Source organism: Homo sapiens, chromosome 2 (assembly GCF_000001405.40).
Source record: "Homo sapiens chromosome 2, GRCh38.p14 Primary Assembly".
Lineage (NCBI taxonomy): Eukaryota > Metazoa > Chordata > Mammalia > Primates > Hominidae > Homo > Homo sapiens.
Window position 1 is genome coordinate 15,201,281 of NC_000002.12, and position 19,216 is coordinate 15,220,496.

The following is a 19,216-nucleotide window of genomic DNA, read 5'->3' on the forward strand; positions in this document are numbered from 1 at the left end:
AATGAACAAAAATCCTCAGCTTCAACAGATATACAGAAATATCAAAAGGTGACAGAGTTAACCTCTAGCAATACCAGACCTCTGCCTGTTAAAGCCACTTCTTTGATAAGGTTTCAGGTGGCCAATAATGCCTGTTGTGTCTACTGGATTGAATTAATATCTCTGTGGAAGGGAATTTTGAGAAGACCAAAACCAGTCATAAGCTGTTGACTACCAACATTCCCCACCAATCTAAGCAGTTCTTAGACCAGTGCTTGGCACACAGCAAGTATTTAATAAACAATATTATGACTGTTATTTTTATTAATTATAGTCTGAATTATTGCTATTAGATAAGAAAATATAAATATGATATGTTCTATTTTTGTTCATTTCTGGATATTTATGGATTTTATTAAATAGAAAATATCAAAGTATGGAAAATCATCAAAGTTTAAACATTAAAAGTAAGGGTGCTATTTTCTGCTTATTCTCCCTTTTCTATGGAACTAAAAAACAGATGCAGATATGGCGACAATTTTCTAAATACTTGACCTTGCACAGCTCATATAAGGCAAAATGTTTTGCTGAGACAGTCTGAAGGTTCAAACAATTGTCCCTAGCTCATGCAAGGGTGAGAAGATCTCCTGCACAGAAAGAGTGTCCTGACCAGGAAGAAAGAGATGAGAAATTGAACTCTTTCCCACTTTTGCTTCTAGGTCTGGTGATCAGCAAAAACTTTTAGCTCTGCTTCTTTTCAAAGGAAGAGTAGGAAAATGAGTGCCTGTTTATAAACTGCTTAAGAATAAATGGTTTTCAATTGCCACAGAAAGTCTCTCCTAGGGCACTGCAAACACCCCTTGGGATGGGGAGAAACCCAATGAAAGAACAGGAATGTAGGCTCCCAAGCAGCCTACACATCCGTGGGTACAGAAACATATCTAAACACACAGAATCCAACAACTGCAATTCAGAACCATGCTTTACAGCACCCTACTTATTTTATTATACCTGTAAACATAGAAATTACACAATAAAACATGCTGTAATCACTCCCCATAAGTGCTGCTGTCACTTCGATATGTAATACATATTTTTACATGACTAAATATATTTTATGAAACACTTAAAAACATGTAAGGGGAAATATTTTGTGTTAAAATAAGAAGAGGAAAGATTTTGCCTTATAAATTTTTTCTCTAAGACAAATAATCAATCATATAGTGCCATGTGACCCCCTATAAATACGTGTGTTTGTTTGTTTATTTATTTATTTATTTATTTATTTATTTATTTAGAGATGGAGTTTCGCTCTTGTTGCCCAGGCTGGAGTGCAATGGCACGATCTTGGCTCACTGCAACCTCCGCCTCCTGGGTTCAAGTGATTCTACTGCCTCAGCCTCCCGAGTAGCTGGGATTACAGGCACCTGTTACCACGCTGGGCTAATTTTGCATTTTTAGTAGAGACGTGTTTCTCCATGTTAGTCAGGCTGCTCTCAAACTCCCGACCTCAGGTAATCTGCTTGCCTCAGCCTCCCAAAGTGCTGGGATTACAGGCCTGAGCCACTGCACCCGGCCATGTGTGTTTATTTTAAACAGCTGCTATTGAAACTAAGGCCATACTTTGCTTTGAGTTAAATTTGATGAAGTTTTAATAGAATAATTCATACAGCTGAAAATTTTCTCGCTGTAGTGTATCATTCAGACTCAGATTTGAATATTGGCCCTGTCACTTAATAGCTGTGTGATTACATAAAAATACCTCTCTTAGCCTCAGTGCTTTCATATGTAAAAATAAGGTAATAATACCTAACTAGCAATATCAGATTACTTTGAGAATAATATAGTATAGCATAACATATAACATAATATACCATACAGACATACACATACACCTTTACATGTGTCTAACACTGAGTTAACACTGAGCATCTATGGTAGCTACTAGTATGGATAGTTCATAGTTATATATCATTCTGTCATACTTTAGCATTGAGATATTACACAAATTTCTTAACCACTTTGAGTCTATTTCCTTATGTGATGAATGGAGTGATGAGATCACCTATGTTACAGGGCTGTTACAACGTTTAGATGAAATGATACACATATGAAGCCTAATGTTAAGTCCATGGAAGGCCCTCAAAACATGGAGCATGTAGTATCTTCACAGCTTAAGGGAAAAGAGATTTCTGTTGTACTTCTAGAGTTTTAACTTTGATGTTAAGTTTTATTCCAGTTAGAAATTATGCAGGGAGACTTTAGGGTAACAGAAGAAACTGGCAACCAATGAATTATGTCTACCTATATTTTCTCCAAATATAAAATAGAATGACAAGAACAAATAAAACTACACAAAACCCACACATTCAGCACAATTATAGACCAAGCATGTCCATACTTCAAAATACCATAAGGAAAATGGAAAAAAAGCACTAAATCCCAGAGAATGATCTCATATTCCATGTTAATATTTCACATATTCAAAAAAGAATACCTGAAATCAGTAATAGGGCAAAACATATAAAAAGAAAAAAATGAACCTAACTACTAATAAGTGAATAAGATAATCATACTGAAGGTGGCATGTCTGTGTGTGTGTGTCTGTGTCTGTGTGTGTGTGTGTGTGCTTGTGTGTGTGTGTGTGTGTGTGTGTGTGTGTGTGTGAGTGGGGAGGAGGAGGGAATTAAGTGACTTTGAAAAACATAAACCAGATAAGCCAGGTGCAGTGGCTCATGTCTATAATGCATCCAGCACTTTGGGAGGTTGGGGCAGCAGGACTGCTTGAACCCAGGAGTTTGAGTCCAGCCTGAGCAACATAGTGAGACCCCATCTCTACGAAAAATATACAGTTAGCCGGGCATAGTGGTGCATGCCTGCGGTCTCAGTGACTTGGAAGGCTGAGGTAAGAGGATCCTTGAGCCAGGAGGATGGGGCTGCAGCGAGCCACAATTGGTCAACTGCACTCCAGCCTGGGCAACAGGGTGAGACCCTTTCAAAAAAGAAAAATAGAAAAAGAAAAAGAAAAGAAGTATCAGTACTCTTACTTGAAGTCTAAACATAAAAAGAGCTCTCAAAAATATTGTACTCTACCCAGTAATTTCAAAATTCATATGTACTCCAGGATTGAGCAAATATATAAATATATTATGGATAATGAACCTAAGTTTCTTATTGACAGAGAGAGGAGTTTACAAATAAGAAAAGGGAGAAGGCTAGAATAAACTCTGTGAGACTGGGCTGGCATTAGAAGTAGCAATAAAGAATTATAAATCATGCTGCTATAAAGACACATGCACACGTATGTTTTTGCGGCACTATTCACAATAGCAAAGACTAGGAACCAACCCAAATGTCTACCAATGATAGACTGGATTAAGAAAATGTGGCACATATACACCATGGAATACTATACAGCCATAAAAAAGGATGAGTTCATGTCCTTTGTAGGGACATGGATGAAGCTAGAAACTATCATTCTGAGCAAACTATCGCATGGACAGAAAACCAAACACCGCGTGTTCTCACTCATAGGTGGGAATTGAACAATGAGAACACTTGGACACAGGGTGGGGAACATCATACACTGGGGCCTGTCATGCAGTTGGGGGAAGGGGGAGGGATAGCATTAGGAGATATACCTAATGTAAATGATGAATTAACAGGTGTAGCACACCAACATGGCACAGGTATACATATGTAACAAACCTGCACATTGTGCATATGTATCCTAGAACTTAAACTATAATAATAAAAAATAAAAAAATTAAAAAAAGAAGTAGCAATATGAAATTACAGAATAAGATATAAATAGAATAAAACAATAAGTTAAAAAGCCAGGGAATGAAGTTAAGCTGTAGAGTTTTTATTAATTTTCATTTTGCTTGTTTCTTTGTTTATGCAAACAATGTTAACATTATAAGCTTAAAACAATGAGTTATAACACAGAATTTGTAAGATGCATGGATAACCTCAAATCAAAAAACATACAACAGATACACAAAAATAAAATGCAAGAAATTAACTCATACCACAAGAGAAAATCACCTTCACTAAACGGAAGACAGGAAAGAAGAAAAGAAGGAAGAGAAGACAACAACACAAAAGAAACAACAACAACAACAAAAACAGCAGGAGTAAGTCCTTACTTATCAATAATAACCTTGAATGAAATGGACTAAATTCGCCAATCAAAAGACATAGAGTGGTTGAATAAATTAAAAAAAAAACCAGACCCAATGATCTGTTGCCAGAAACATGCTTCACCTATAAAGACAACATACGCTCAAAATAAAGGGGGAAAAAAAAGAGATATTCCATGCCAATGGAAACCAGGAAAGAGCAGGAGTTGGATTGGCTCTGTGTCCCCACTCAAATCGCATCTCGAATTATAATCCCCACATTTTAGGGGAATGGCCTGGTGGGAGGTGACTGAGTCATGGGGGTGGACTTCCCCTTTGCTGTTCTTGTCATAGAGTTCTCACGAGATCTGGTTGTTTGATAAGTGTCTGGCACCTTCCACCCCCTCTCTCTCCTGCTGCCTTCTGAAGATCTTGCTTCTCCTTTACCTTCTGTCATGATTATAAGTTTCCGCCATGTGGAACTGTGAATCAATTAAACTTCTTTTCTTTATAAATTACACAGTCTCAGGTAGGTCTTTATAGCAGTGTGAAAAAGGACTAATATAGAAAATCAGTACCGAGATAGTGGGGCACTGATATAAAGATACCTGAAAATGTGGAAGCACCATTGGAACTGGGTAATGGGTAGAGGTTGGAACAGTTTGGGTTCAGAAGAAAACAGGAAGATGTGGGAAGTATGAAACTTCCTAGAGACTTTAATGGTTTTGACCAAAATGCTGATAGTGATATGGACAATGAAATCCGGGCTGAGGTGGTCTCAGATGGAGATGAGGAAGTTATTGGGAACTGGAATAAAGGTCACTCTTGCTATGCTTTAGAGATCTGTGGAACTCTGAGCTTGAAAATGATAATTTAGGGAATCTGGCAGAAATTTACAAGCAGTAAGTGTCCAAGATGTGACCTGGTTTTTTCTGAAAGTGTACACTCATATGCACAAAGACAGAGATGGTCTGATATTGGAACTTAGTTTAAAAGGGAAACAGAGCACAAAAGTTTGGAAAATTTGCAGCCTGACCATGTGGTAGAAAAAAAAAAACACTATCTGAGGAGAAATTCAAGCCAGCTGCAGAAACTTGCATAAGTAAAGAGAAGTCAAACATTAATAGCCAAGACTATGGGGAAAATGTCTCCAGGGCATGTCAGAGATCTTCATGGGAGCCCCTCCAATCACAGGCCCAGAGGCCCTAGGAGGGAAAAATGGTTCCATGGGCCAGGCCCAGGGCGCCACTGCTCTATGCAGCCTTGGACATGGTGCCCTGCATTCCAGCCACTCAGGCTCCAGCTGTGGCTAAAAGGGGCAAACACAGAGCTCAGGCCATTGCTTCAGAGAGTGCAAGCCAAGCCCCAAGACTTGGTGGCTTCTACATGATGCTGGGCCTGCAGGTGTACAGAAGACACAAGTTGAGTTTTGGGAGCCTTTACCTAGATTTCAGAGGATGTATGGAAATCCCTGGAGGTCCAGGAAAACGTCTGCTACAGGGTTGCAGCCCTCATGGAGAACCTCTACTAGGGCAATGCAGAGGGGAAATGTGGGGTTGGAGCCCCCACACAGAGTCACCACTGGGGCACTGCCTCTAGTGGAGCTTTGAGAAGAGGGTCACCATCCTCCAGACCCCAGAATGGTAGATTCACCTACAGCTTGCACTGTGCACCTGAAAAAGCCATAGGCAATCAACGCCAGCCTGAGAAAGCAGTCATGGAGGCTGTACCCTGCAGAGCCACAGAAGCAGAGCTGCCCATGGCTTGGGAGCCTACATCTTGCATGACCGAGCCCTGGATATGAGACATGGAGTCAAAGAAGATGAATTTGGAGCTTTAAAATTTAATGACTGCCCTGTTGGGTTTCAAACTTGCATGGGGCCTGTAGCTCCTTTGTTTTGGTCAATTTCTCCCACTTGGAATGAGGGCATTTACCCAATGTCTGTACTCCCATTGTATCTTGGAACTAACTAATTTGTGATTTTACAGGCTCGTAAGTGAAAACAACTCGTCTTGTCTCAGTCTCAATGAGACTCTGAGCTTGTGCTTTTCAGTTAAGGCTGGAATGAGTTAAGACTTTGGGGGACTACTGGGAAGGCATATTGGTTTTGAAAAGTGAAAGGGATAAGAGATTTGGGAGAGGCTGGGATGGAATTATATGGTTTGGCTCTGTGTCCCCACCCAAATTGCAACTCAAATTGTAATCCCCATGTGTTGGAAGAGTGGCTTGATGGGAGGTGACTGAATCATGGGGGTGGACTTCCCCCTTGCTGTTCTTGTGATAGAGTTCTCATGAGATCTGGTTGTTTGATAAGTGTCTGGTGCTTCCCCCCTTCTCTCTCCTGCCACCTTTTGAAGAAGGTGCTTGCTCTTCATTTGCTGTCATGGTTGTAAGTTTCCTGGGGCCTCCCAAGCCATGCAGAACTGTGAGTTAATTAAACCTCTTTTCTTTATAAATTACTCAGTCTCAGGTAGTTCTTTACAGCCGTGTGAAAATGGACTAACATAGTAACTAACACAAAATTGATTTCAAGACAAAAACTATAAGAAGAAACAAAGAAGGTCACTATATAATGATAAAAAGGTCAATTCAGCAAGAGGATATAACAGTTGTAAATATATATGCACCCAATGCTTGAGCACCCAGATATATATAAAGCAAATGTTATTAGAGCTAAAGAAAGAGATAGGCCTTGTATTAGTCCATTTTCACTCTGCTGATAAAGACATACCCATGACTGAATAATTTATAACGAAAAAGAGGTTTAATGGACTCAGTTCCATGTGGCTGGGAAGGCCTCACAATCATAGTGGAAGGCAAAAGGCATGTCTTACATGGCAGCAGGCAAGAGAGAAGGAAAAACCAAGTGGAAGGGGAAATCCCTTATAAAAACACCAGATCTTATGAGATTTATTCACTACCACGAGAACAGTATGGGGGAAAGTGCCCCCGTGATTCAATTATCTTCCACTGGGTCCCTCCCACAACATGTGGTAATTATGGGAACTATAATTCAAGATGAGATTTGGTTGGGGACATAGCCAAACCATATCAGGCCCCAATACATAATAGCTGGAGACTTCAACACCCGACTTTCAGCATCGGACAGATTGCCCAGACAGAAAATCAACGAAGAAACATTGGATTTAATCGGTACTATGGATCAAATGGATCAAATAGATATTTACAGAATATTTCCCCCAACAGCTGGAGAATATACTTCTTTTCCTCAGCACATGGATCATTCTCAAGGACAGACTATATTATAGGTCACAAAACAAGTCTTAAAACATTAAAAAAATGGAAATATTATCAAGCAGTGGCCCAATGAAGAAATGAAGAAGGAAACTGAAAAATTTCTTGAAACAAATGATAATGGAAACATAACATACCGAAACCTATAGGTTACTGTAAAAGCAGGACTAAGAAAGAAGTTTATAGCTATAAGTGGCTACATCAAAAAAGGAAAAGAAAAACTTCAAATAACCTAACAATGCATCTTAAAGAGCTAGAAAAGCAAGAGCAAATCAAATATAAAATTAGTAGGAAAAAGGATATAATGAAGATCAGAGCAGAAATAAACGAATTGGAAATGAAGAAAACAACATAAAAGATCACTAAAACAAATCATTGGGCTTTTTTTAAAAGATAAAACTGACAAATCTTTAGACAGATTAACTTAAAAACAAAAAGTGAGAGAAAACCCAAATAAAACCAAAGATGAAAAAGGAGACATTTCAACCAATACTGCAGAAACTCAAAGGACCATTAGTGGCTACTTTAAGCAACTATATGCCAGTAAGTTGGAAAATCTAGAGGAAATGGATAAATTCCTAGACACATGCAACCTACCAAGAGTGAACCATGAAGAAATCTAAAACCTGAACAGACCAATAACAGGTAATGAGACAGAAGCCATAAGTCTCCCAGTAAAGAAAAATCTGGGACTGGATAGCTTCACTGCAGAATTCTACCAAATATTTAAAGAAGAATAATACCAATCCTATTCCAACTATTCCAAACAATAGAGGAGGAGGAAATGCTTCCAAACTAATTCTAAAAGCCCAGTATTACCCTGATACTAAACCCAGACAAAGACACATTAAAAAAATAAAACTACAGGCCAATATCATTGATAAATAAATACTGTTAAAATGTTCCTACTACCCAAAGCAATGTACAGATTTAATGCAATTTCTCTCAAAATATCAATGACATTCTTTAAAGAAATACAAAAAACAATCCTAAACTTTATATGAAGTTACAAAGACCTAGAATAGCCAAAGCTCTGATGACCAAAAACAACAAAACTGGAGGAATCATATTACCTGACTTCATATTATACTATGGAGCTATAGTAAGCAAAATAGCAGGGTAGTAGTATCAAAAGATACACAAACATCAGTGGAACAGAATAGAGAACCCAAAGATAAATCCAAGCATCTACAGTAAACCCATTTTTGACAAAGGTGCCAAGAACAAACATTGGAGAAAGGACAGCCTCTTCAATAAATGCTGCTAGGAAAACTGGATATCCATATGCAAAAGAATAAAACTAGACCTCTATCTCTCACCATATATAAAAATCAAATCAAAATGGATTAAAGACTTAACTCTAAGACCTCAAACTATGAAATTAGTAAAAGGAAACATTGAGGAAACTCTCCAGAACACTGGACTGGACAAAGATTTCTTGAGTAATACCCCACAAGCACAGGCAACCAAAGCAAAAAAGGGACAAATGGAATCACATCAAGTTAAAAACTTCTGCACAACAAAGGAAACAATCAACAAAGTGAAGAGACAACACACAGAATGGGAAAAAATATTTGCAAACTACTCATCTGACAAGGGATTAAAAACCAGAATATATAAGGAGTTCAAACAACTATAGAAAAAAAATAATTATCTGGTTAAAAAATGGGCGAAAATCTGAATAGACATTTCTCAAAAGAAGACATATAAATGGCAAATGGGTACATGAAAAGGTGCTCAACATCACTGATTATCAGAGAAATGCAAATCAAAACTACAATGAGATATCATCTCACCCCAGTTAAACTGGCTTATATCCAAAAGACAGGCAATAAACAATGCGGACAAGAATATGGAGAAAAAGGAATCCTCATGCACTATTGGTTGGAATGTAAATTAGTACAAAAACTATGGAGAAGAGTTTGGAAGTTCCTCACAAAACTAAAAATAGAGCTACCATATGATCCAGCAATCTCTTTGTTGGGTATATACCCCAAAGAAAAGAAATCAGTGTATCAAAGAGATAGCTGCACTCCCATGTCTATTGCAACACTGTTCACAACAGCCACAATTTGGAAGCTACCTAAGTGTCCATTAACAGATGAATGGATAAAGAAAATGTGGTACATATATACAATGGAGTACTATTCAGCCATAAAAAGAATGAGATCCTGAGATCTGCAACAACACAGATGGAACTGGAGGTCATAATGTTAAGTGAAATAAGCCAGGCACGGAAAGACAAACTTCACATGTTTTCACTTATTTGTGGGAGCCAAATATTAAAAGTATTGAACTCATGCAGATAGAGAATAGAAGGATGGTAATCAGAAGCTGGGAAGGGTAGTGAGGGTGTTACAGGGGAAGTGGATGATTAATAGGTAGAAAAAAAGAGTTAGAATAAATAAGACTTAGTATCTGCTAACACAACAGGATGACTATAGTAAAAAATAATTTAATTGTACATATAAAAATTACTAAAAGTATAACTTAGATTGTTTGTAACACAAAGGATAAATGCTTGAGGTGGTACATGCCCCATTTATCTTGATGTGATTTTTATGCACTGCATGCCTGTATCAAGATATCTCATGTAACCCAAAAATATATACACCTACTATGTACCCACAAAAATTAAAAAAATAAAAAGATAAAAAATAAAGAAATGCAATGTGCAACCTATATTAGATGTGGACACTAGTGGGACAACGAACAGTATTTGAATTATGTGTAAATTGGATGACAGTATCGAAACAATGTAGCTTTGTTATCTTAGATGTTAATATTTAATGAATCTGAGTAAAAAGTATACAGAATACTTTGCATAATTTATGCAACTTTTTTGTAAATCTCAAATTTCCAAATGAAAAGTTATCCCCAGTTATTCTATCTCCTCTACCAGTGCCCAACATTCACATACTTTTATTTTTCGTGACAATTTTTTTTCCTTTTCCTTCAACGTTTTTCTCGCTTATCCGTAGGAGGATTGAAGAGAAGATATTGTTGTGCAACATGTTAACTAAAGATCATCACTGCTGAGATCATTACACCTCTAAGCAGAAGGCACTTGGACATGATTAGCCCAACTGAGACTTGACCTGAACCTGGGAAAAGAGTACCCAGAGATGGTGTTAGAGCAGACCTCATCCAGTGACATCTGCTAAACTCAAGTTTACTTCCTAGGAAGTGGTCACTGTTAACTAGGACACATTAAGGCCATGAAGAAAGGATGCTTGTGTGAAGGGGATAAACAGAGCGTCCCTATATCTCCACTTCCACCTTCCAAAAAGCATTCTTCAGAATTAAAACATACTAATGACTTCCCTGAAATTAGTGTCATTTGCCACAAAACTGGATTCTCCTCCTGCATGTGCTAATAAGTTCAGCAGCACCACTTCCTCCTTGTAACTTAGGCAAAAATCAGAGGCAAAATAAGTTCTTTTCTAAGCCCCCATATCTAAGCAGACACCAAGTCCATGGATACTAACACTTTACACTTTCTTTTCTACCCTCTTGTTTGTTCGCAGCTAGTACCAACTTCAGGGCCAGTACAGGCAATAAGACCACTGCTTTTGTCTTCCAACTGGCATCCCTCCAGCCAGACCTCTCCAGTCCACTGTTCATGCAGAGGCCAGAGGGCTTCTCCCTAAACATAGATCTGTTCATGTTGCTTCTCGGGCCACACCCTTCCGTGTTGCCTGAGCAGCACAGAAGTCAAACCTGAGCATGATACTCGCGGCTCTCCAGGATCTGATCTGCTTCCTTCCACTTTCTTCTTTTGGTGGCTGTTGTCTTCATACCATACACCAGCTGGGCTGAACTCAGTTTCAGTATCACCTCTTCAAGAGCAGTGAGCCTTTCCTCACTGCTTCCAGACACAGTGGCTGCACGCCCTCCTTTGACCCCTGTGTACTGTGCAGACTTTTATCACAGTACCTGATATGTTTGGCTGTGTCCCCACCCAAATCTCATCTTGAATTGTAGTTCCCATAATCCCCACGTGTAGTGGAAGGGAACTGGTGGGAGGTAACTGAAGCATGGGGGGAGTTTCCCCTATGCTATTCTCGTGATAGTAAGTTCTCACAAGATCTGATGGTTTTATAGGAAGCCTCCTTCGCTTGGCTTTCATTCTTCTCTTTCCTGTTGCCATGTGAAGAAGGACCTGTTTGCTTCCCCTTCTGCCATGATTATAAGTTTCCTGAGGCCTCCCCAGCCCTGCAGAATTGTGAGTCAAACCTCTTTCCTTTATAAACTATCCAGTTGCGGGCAGCTCTTTATAGCAGCGTGAGAACAAACTAATACGGTATCTAAACCTTTAGGGTATCTACTTCTTTGTTGATAGATCTATGTTCTCCACTGGTGTAGAGGTCCTTCACCAATTAGGTCCATTTATTGGGACCAGAATTAGAGCTTTATAGGTATTAGCCTATTTAATTCTTACAACAATTGTATTGTGTTATTATTTCCATTTTTTAGACAAGGAAATTGAGGTTATGAGAGATTTACTAACTTTTCCAAGCTCACAGAGCTAGGGACTGGTGGCTAAAAAGTCCAAACATTTTACTATCAATTGCCTTGTCTATTTTTCTGTCCCTAGAGTGTAGCACAGTGCATGTCAAATGACATATGCTTGAAGAATATTTGGTGAATATTCCACACATATTGCCCTGTTCAAACAACAGTTAATAGGCATGGCATTTTTCAATATTTTAATTAAGCAGCAGTTAACATATATAGTACCATGTATCGAGACGTGACAAATGTAAAAGATGAAGCAATGTTTTCTATTCTGTCAAACCCCTGATTTCTCATCTCTAATCAAATTTAATCCATGTAAAGTCATAGTGGGAAGAGGAAAAGACTATGCTTTATGTAGTCCAATGCTATTCAAATATCAGTGCCATATATTTCCCTGGAAAATAGGAAGAAGTGTAGTACAAGGCCAAGAATATAGGTTTTAGAACCAGACAGAACTGGTTTGAGTTCCATGTATCACCTTAAATTGGTCATGTGACCTCATTTAAAACAGAGAGGATGGTAACCACTTTGCAAGACAGTTTTAAAGATTAGCGTGCACATAGTACACATTCCAGGGTTCCTTCTTTGGCCCCCAGTGATGCCAACAGCGAGAGGGCAAATATTTAAAGCAAGGAACACATTGTTCATAAAGAGAAACTCTCAACATCTCCAAATATTTGCAGGACCAATTAAAACGGATGTTCTGTCAACTTTAATCATTTTAGGAAAAAAGACACAAGGAGCTATATCCAAACATTTCAAATCTCTTGCTCATATTGGGACAAACATGCTGTGACATGAGAAGCAACTGGCTGGTCAGAAATCATTGTCAGCAAACTATGGCAAACTAATAAAAATAAAATAAAAGCACCAGGCCACTCTATAAGGAAATCTTCCCATTATTCCAAGCAAATCATTTTGCTTGCATGTCAGGGGGAAGTGGCATGGTCTAATCCTTCATCATTAATGGCAAGAACATCAGACTGAAAGTCAGGAGTCCTGCCCTGCCATTTTAAGGGTGACCTTGGACAAATTTTTAAAGATTTGATATTCATTTATTCAACAAATATTTATTGTTTGTGAGATCCCTCTTCTCATGGAATTTATATCCTAATGGAAGAAGAAAGAGTTCATATAATAAATAGACAAACATAAGGATAGGCAGGAAAAAGTCAGCAGACACTGGTGAGTGATTTGTGGAGAATTAAGACAGCAATAAAATAGACAGTGACTGAGGTGGTTAATTTAGGCTGTATAGTCACTTTAGAAAAGGAAACATTTAAGCTAAAATATGAGGAAGGCAGTTATCCTTTCTGGACTTCTGTATCCTTTTCTATAAAGTATGACTGCTGAACTGGGGATGCTTTTGAAAGTCTCTTCTAGTTCTAGGAATCTGTGATTTCATGGCTAGGTTATATTATATGATATGGATGTGTGCACATATATTTTTAACTTCAAATATCCTAAATTTGGTTAAGTAAATCATGACAGTGAGTCTTAGCTTTGAAGACATTTAAGGTAACAGTAAATTACTTGTAAGGATCTAAATGTAGCTTGGCATACTGGACTTTTGTGGCTGTTCTCTGAGCTCTGAGAGGGAAGGGCACATTTTACTAATATTTTGGAAATATAGTCAAACTGGTTTCTGAAAAGAAGGGTTAATATGTCCCTGAACATTTCAAAGTAGGCAAAATACATGCATTTGTAATGAGGTTAGATTGTCTTAAACTAATTCTTTTGGTGATCGCCTACAACCACAAATTCAGACATACTGAAATTTTAAAAGGTAAAACTAAGCCACATGTTCTTTTTTACATAAAAATGGGAAAAAAGTTTGAGGTGACATGGTATGGGATTTTTTTCTAAAGGAATTAACCATATTTTGCCCCATATTTTTCATGCACCAGTTAGCTAGAAAATTACAAAAGCTGAAAAACTCAGATAAACCGTACTATGAGGATTAACACAACACATTCATCCCCTCTCCCCTGCCCCCATGTCCCTCTCTTTTTCCCTCCCACCCCAAGCTGGGGCATATTTCTGGAATGGAAATAAAAGCCTCTCAAACTGTTGAAAAATGAAGGCCTCTGAATTTTTAATTCTGTTAACTAATCATTAGAAAACTAAAAATTACTGTCTCTCCGAGAACCAGTGAGGTAGCAAGAACCAGAGACTCTGTGTTTAATTTTGCAGGAGCTGGCTGGTTTCCCAGCAACACACTGATTTGTGGGGCCACTACTTTGGGCACCTCGAGGATAATTAAATATTAAGTCTCTCTCTGATGTATGCAAAGTCTGCCTAAGAGGGTTGGCAGCCACAGTGAAAGTAGCAGTCACACATTTTTTGGTAACTGAACATTGCAATATCATTATCTATTCTTATCCTTACTCTGTAAGAACTTGTCTCTATCCTTAATATCACCCAAAGTTATCTCTGAGAATGAAGAAGGGGATAGAGAGAAAATGAAAAAAACAAGAGCTCATACAGTCAATACTTGGGGATCTTCTAGGTGTTTGGGATATGGAGATGAAGAGTGGAGTTTAATGTGTGTGAGAGAAATGATGAGGGGAGCACAACATCCTCTATCTCCTCTAGTTGAAGCTTCCATTTTATACACCAAGCAGCCAAGCACACAGATGAAGAATCTTCCCCCAAATTCTAAAACTAGTGGTAGAGGGAGGATGGTCACACACACAAGTATCTGCCCACTAGTGCCCTGATCTTTCTACTACTCTAGTGAAAGGTAAGACAATTTTTGAAAAACAATAATTTAAGAGACAATTTAAACTATGGGCATAGTTTTGTAACATTCCAGAAGTTGTTGGTGTTTCCATTCTAAACACAATACTTCTGCATTCACTCACCAAGTAACAAGAGGTTATTTACAATTATAAGTCATTTTCCCCCATCAAATGCACCTGTCCTTCAAAATAGATTTCAATCAGTAATGCCAGACAGACATCTTTACTTTCTAAAGGAGGAGGGGGACACTCACTGATTTACTTCTTGGAGAAGACTCTAGATGAGTAGCATCATTAAGCCAGTGTGGCTTTCTTATTTGTACTACCAAATATTCAACAAATCTGTATCATTACCTACCAAGAACAGGGAAAATGCTCTTACATAAGGGGAAAGCAGAGAGGCGAGAAAACAAAAAGAGTGAGGGGGATATGAGATGACTTGTATTAGAGTCATTCAGAGACTCTTGGGAGAGATTTCCTAGGGGGCCGGAAAAAGTTTGCACCACCACAGAAGAAATATTGGTGAAACGCAGATACACATGGATTTGGCAAATGAGAGAAAATAGTTTGCACTCATAACAATAAAGTCAAGTCAGTTTAGAAAAGTGCTTGAGAAAAAAATCTTAATTACAAGCCAAGTTGCCTTAAGTTCTGCTTTTGGAAAAAGTTAAGCTATCAAGGAACTAAAATCTCAAAAATATTCAGAAGTCCTTGAACTCATATAAAAGTTACAACTTGTTTCTTGAGTAATTAGAACATCGACAAAAGCTTAAAGGAAGAAATAGCAATGATACTTATTTATGAAGAGCTCGCGTTCAAATATTGAAGTGTATGTTCCTGTGTTTTAACATGTCAGGTAATATGGACATTTTCCCCTTTTCCCAACTTCTACACTGTTTCCTCTTATCTTTAGAATATTAGGAATCTGACATAACATAAAGTGAGGCTCTAACCAGAGAAATCAGCCTCATCATCCTGGCGAGAAGGTGAAACTGACCGAGGTCGAGAATTTAAAAAGTGAAGGTATGAGGAAAGTACATAACTGTAGTCACATCCATTTGCTTCAGGACCAGAGTCAGAACCTAAAGTTCCACATAGCAAAACTAATGTGACCTAATTTAGGGTTTTCCCCAGGGATGCCACATGAACCTTCATGTTTGCTGAAAACAAGCACATCTCTAACTTCTATGCCCTGTACCGGCAATAGAGCTTGTGGCCTATGCCTTCGTGTCCCTAGCCTGCTCTTTAAAAAAACACTGCAAGTGGTTTCCTCAAGTAATTCAAGGCAAAATGTTGAGACTGAACATGTTAAGGTCACAGTGCTTCAGAGAGAGTATGATTCTGATATTCATGACTTTTAAACTACAATCCACTTCAGTGATTTGACAAGAATAGAGAATCTTTGATAGGTCTATCTTTTTTGAATCTCAATTTCTCTAACTCTGAAGAGCAAACAATAGTATTGACCTCTTCATCTCACAGAGGGAAATAAGACTGTATCTGATAATAATTACAAAGATATTCGTGATGAGGCCCAAAATATTCTTAAAATCTGATTCATTTTTTAAAAGGAATTTATTGTTCTTTAGATGTAGTAATAACCATATAAATTATAAACTTGCTTTAAGATTAGACGGTAGAATGAGTTGCAGTTAGACCTCTAGGAAACTCTTTTGCAATGGGGATTATCTGGGAAGTCCTAATTTGTAACACTTATTGACATGATGGTCTAACCCTGCGTGCTAAAGCACGTGATTAAGGTTCCCGACTCCTGGACGCTATGGCCTCAGGTGCATCAATTTAGAATTTAAGCCAAATTTCAACAGCCACAATATTTCTTTGATTTAGGAATTAGCATTCTTATTTATTCAATCAATAAGGATTTAAACTCTGAGTATGTGCACAGGATACTTAGAGTCAAAAGATGGTAAATACATCCTCTAGGGCTTCAGTTTTCATGGTGGTGGAAAAACAAAACTTTTAACAGTAATTAATAACGATAATAATTATAAATAATTAAGGCTCAAATATGTGGAATTCAAGGTTCCATTAAGCTTGCAATGGTTAGAGAAGGTTCCAGAGAGAAGATGGACTGAGTGAGCCTTGAAGTATGGTATGGAGAAACTAAGGTCTTGTGTCTCTGTTACATTATGTCCTTCTAAGTATAGGGAGAAGGGACAGCATTTTAGTACCTGGGCAGAGCACGAAGGAAATGAATTAGCTAAATATAGAATTACTATATTTCTATTCACACCTGCATTTTTCCTGGGCAAGAGTAAGCCACCATGATTAACGGATACTGTGAACCATCCTATCTCCTATTAAGAGAAAAATAATGTACACGTGTTTTGTGTATAATCTACCATGCATATGCATGTTCAAGCTTATGGAAAAATAAAAATAAATTTCGTTGTACATATTCAAGTACTAAATAGCTGATTGATATATATACTGGAAAGTTTGCATTACCAAGATGATTATCCAGTTGACAGTTGCTTAAAGAAATCAAGAACTGACCTCCAACTATTGTTTTTTTCTTTTTCTTTTGAGATGGAGTCTTGCTCTGTTGCCCAGGCTGGAGTGCAGTGGTGCCATCTCGACCACTGCAATCTCCATCTCCCAGGTTTAAGCGATTCTCCTGCCTCAGCCTCCCGAGCAGCTGGGACTACAGATGCGTGCCACCACACCAGGCTGTTTGTAGATTTAGTAGAGATGGGGTTTTGTCATGTTGGCCAGGTGCCAGGCTGGTCTTGAACTCCTGGCCTCAGGTGATCCTCCCACCTTGGCCTCCCACAATGCTGGGATTACAGGCGTGAGCAACCGCGTCCGGCCTAATTATTGTTAGTAAGAAAAATAATCATTCAGACACTCCCTTACCTGTCTCTGGGGCCAGGAGGCTTTGAGAATGGCTTCAGTTCTAAAGAACACGAGGAGCTTGCTGTCCTCCTCAGTCAGGTGAAATGATTGCCCCAAAATCTGCAGCACGTGAATGCGGGGCCGCACCGGCCAGGCGTCATCAGCACAGAAAGGCCGCAGCCACTCCAGCAGGTCCTCAGGTGAAACCAGCTCCTCACTGCAGGGCAAAATCCAGAGGTATCTGTAAACTCCTAAGCCTTTTATTTTCCCCCTTCCGGTAATCAAATGTGGTCACTGACCTAACACTTGTTTGTTGGATGACTTCGTTTTTTTCCTCTTGAAAGGAAAAATTTTGGTTTTTAAATGGCTTACAGCGAACTGTATTAGGTATTTAAAACCTATGTAAAATGAATGTAATTTTAAAACAGTATCATATTAAAATGAGTTATATAAAGCAGATAAACATCCTTGGCTAGCTTATTTCAAAATTTAATAAGTAGTAAGGTTTATTTCTGTTAATAATACCAATAGTGCAAGGCTGCATTCTAGTAATTTTTTTTTTTTCTTTTCTTTTTTTTTAATTTTTTTTTTTATTGATCATTCTTGGGTGTTTCTCGCAGAGGGGGATTTGGCAGGGTCATAGGACAACAGTGGAGGGAAGGTCAGCAGATAAACAAGTGAACAAAGGTCTCTGGTTTTCCTAGGCAGAGGACCCTGCGGCCTTCCGCAGTGTTTGTGTCCCTGGGTACTTAAGATTAGGGAGTGGTGATGACTCTTAACGAGCATGCTGCCTTCAAGCATCTGTTTAACAAAGCACATCTTGCACCGCCCTTAATCCATTTAACCCTGAGTGGACACAGCACATGTTTCAGAGGGCACAGGGTTGGGGATAAGGTCACAGATCAACAGGATCCCAAGGCAGAAGAATTTTTCTTAGTACAGAACAAAATGAAAAGTCTCCCATGTCTACTTCTATCCACACAGACCCGGCAACCATCCGATTTCTCAATTTTTTCCCCACCCTTCCCGCCTTTCTATTCCACAAAACCGCCATTGTCATCATGGCCCATCCCCAATGAGCCGCTGGGCACACCTCCCAGACGGGGTCGTGGCCGGGCAGAGGGGCTCCTCACTTCCCAGTAGGGGCGGCCGGGCAGAAGCGCCCCTCACCTCCCGGATGGGGCGGCTGGCCGGGCAGAGGGCTCCTCACTTCCCAGTAGGGGCGGCCGGGCAGAGGCGCCCCTCACCTCCCGGACGGGGCGGCTGGCCAGGCGGGGGGCTGATCCCCCCACCTCCCTCCCGGACGGGGCGGCTGGCCGGGCGGGGGGCTGACCCCCCCCACCTCCCTCCTGGACGGGGCGGCTGGCCGGGCGGGGGGCTGACCCCCCCACCTCCCTCCCGGACGGGGCGGCTGGCCGGGCGGGGGGCTGACCCCCCCACCTCCCTCCCGGACGGGGCGGCTGGCCGGGCAGAGGGGCTCCTCACTTCCCAGTAGGGGCGGCCGGGCAGAGGCGCCCCTCACCTCCCGGACGGGGCGGCTATATATCTGATTACTTGCTGACAATAATTAAGCAAAGTAGGCATCATAAGTTACTTTTTACAGCTGAACCAACAAACTTCAGGGAAGTGATATAATATGCCCACACAAATGAATAATAGTGCTGTAGGACCCCAAAGCTCCAGTTCTTTCTATCATTTTCCCCAGATGATTAGAATTTCAATATGCCATTAGAGTATCAAATCTT

At 39.5% G+C, this 19,216-nt stretch overlaps 1 protein-coding gene across 11 annotated transcripts in view; it reads right to left on the bottom strand.

Moving 5' to 3' along the window:
• Positions 1 to 19,216, bottom strand: part of NBAS (NBAS subunit of NRZ tethering complex) — a 782,426-nt gene that overhangs the window by 422,372 nt on the left and 340,838 nt on the right. For 10 of the 11 annotated variants that reach the window (XR_007076390.1, XM_017004317.2, XM_047444733.1 and 7 more), the window contains one exon: positions 17,493 to 17,688. The exons of the other annotated variant lie outside the window; for it this stretch is intronic. Coding sequence is in view for 9 of the 10 variants with exons in the window: in XM_017004317.2 (XP_016859806.1) it covers positions 17,493 to 17,688 (196 nt within the window). In the remaining variant the exon portion in view is untranslated. The remainder of the gene's footprint in view (positions 1 to 17,492; positions 17,689 to 19,216) is intronic. 11 annotated transcript variants of the gene reach the window in all.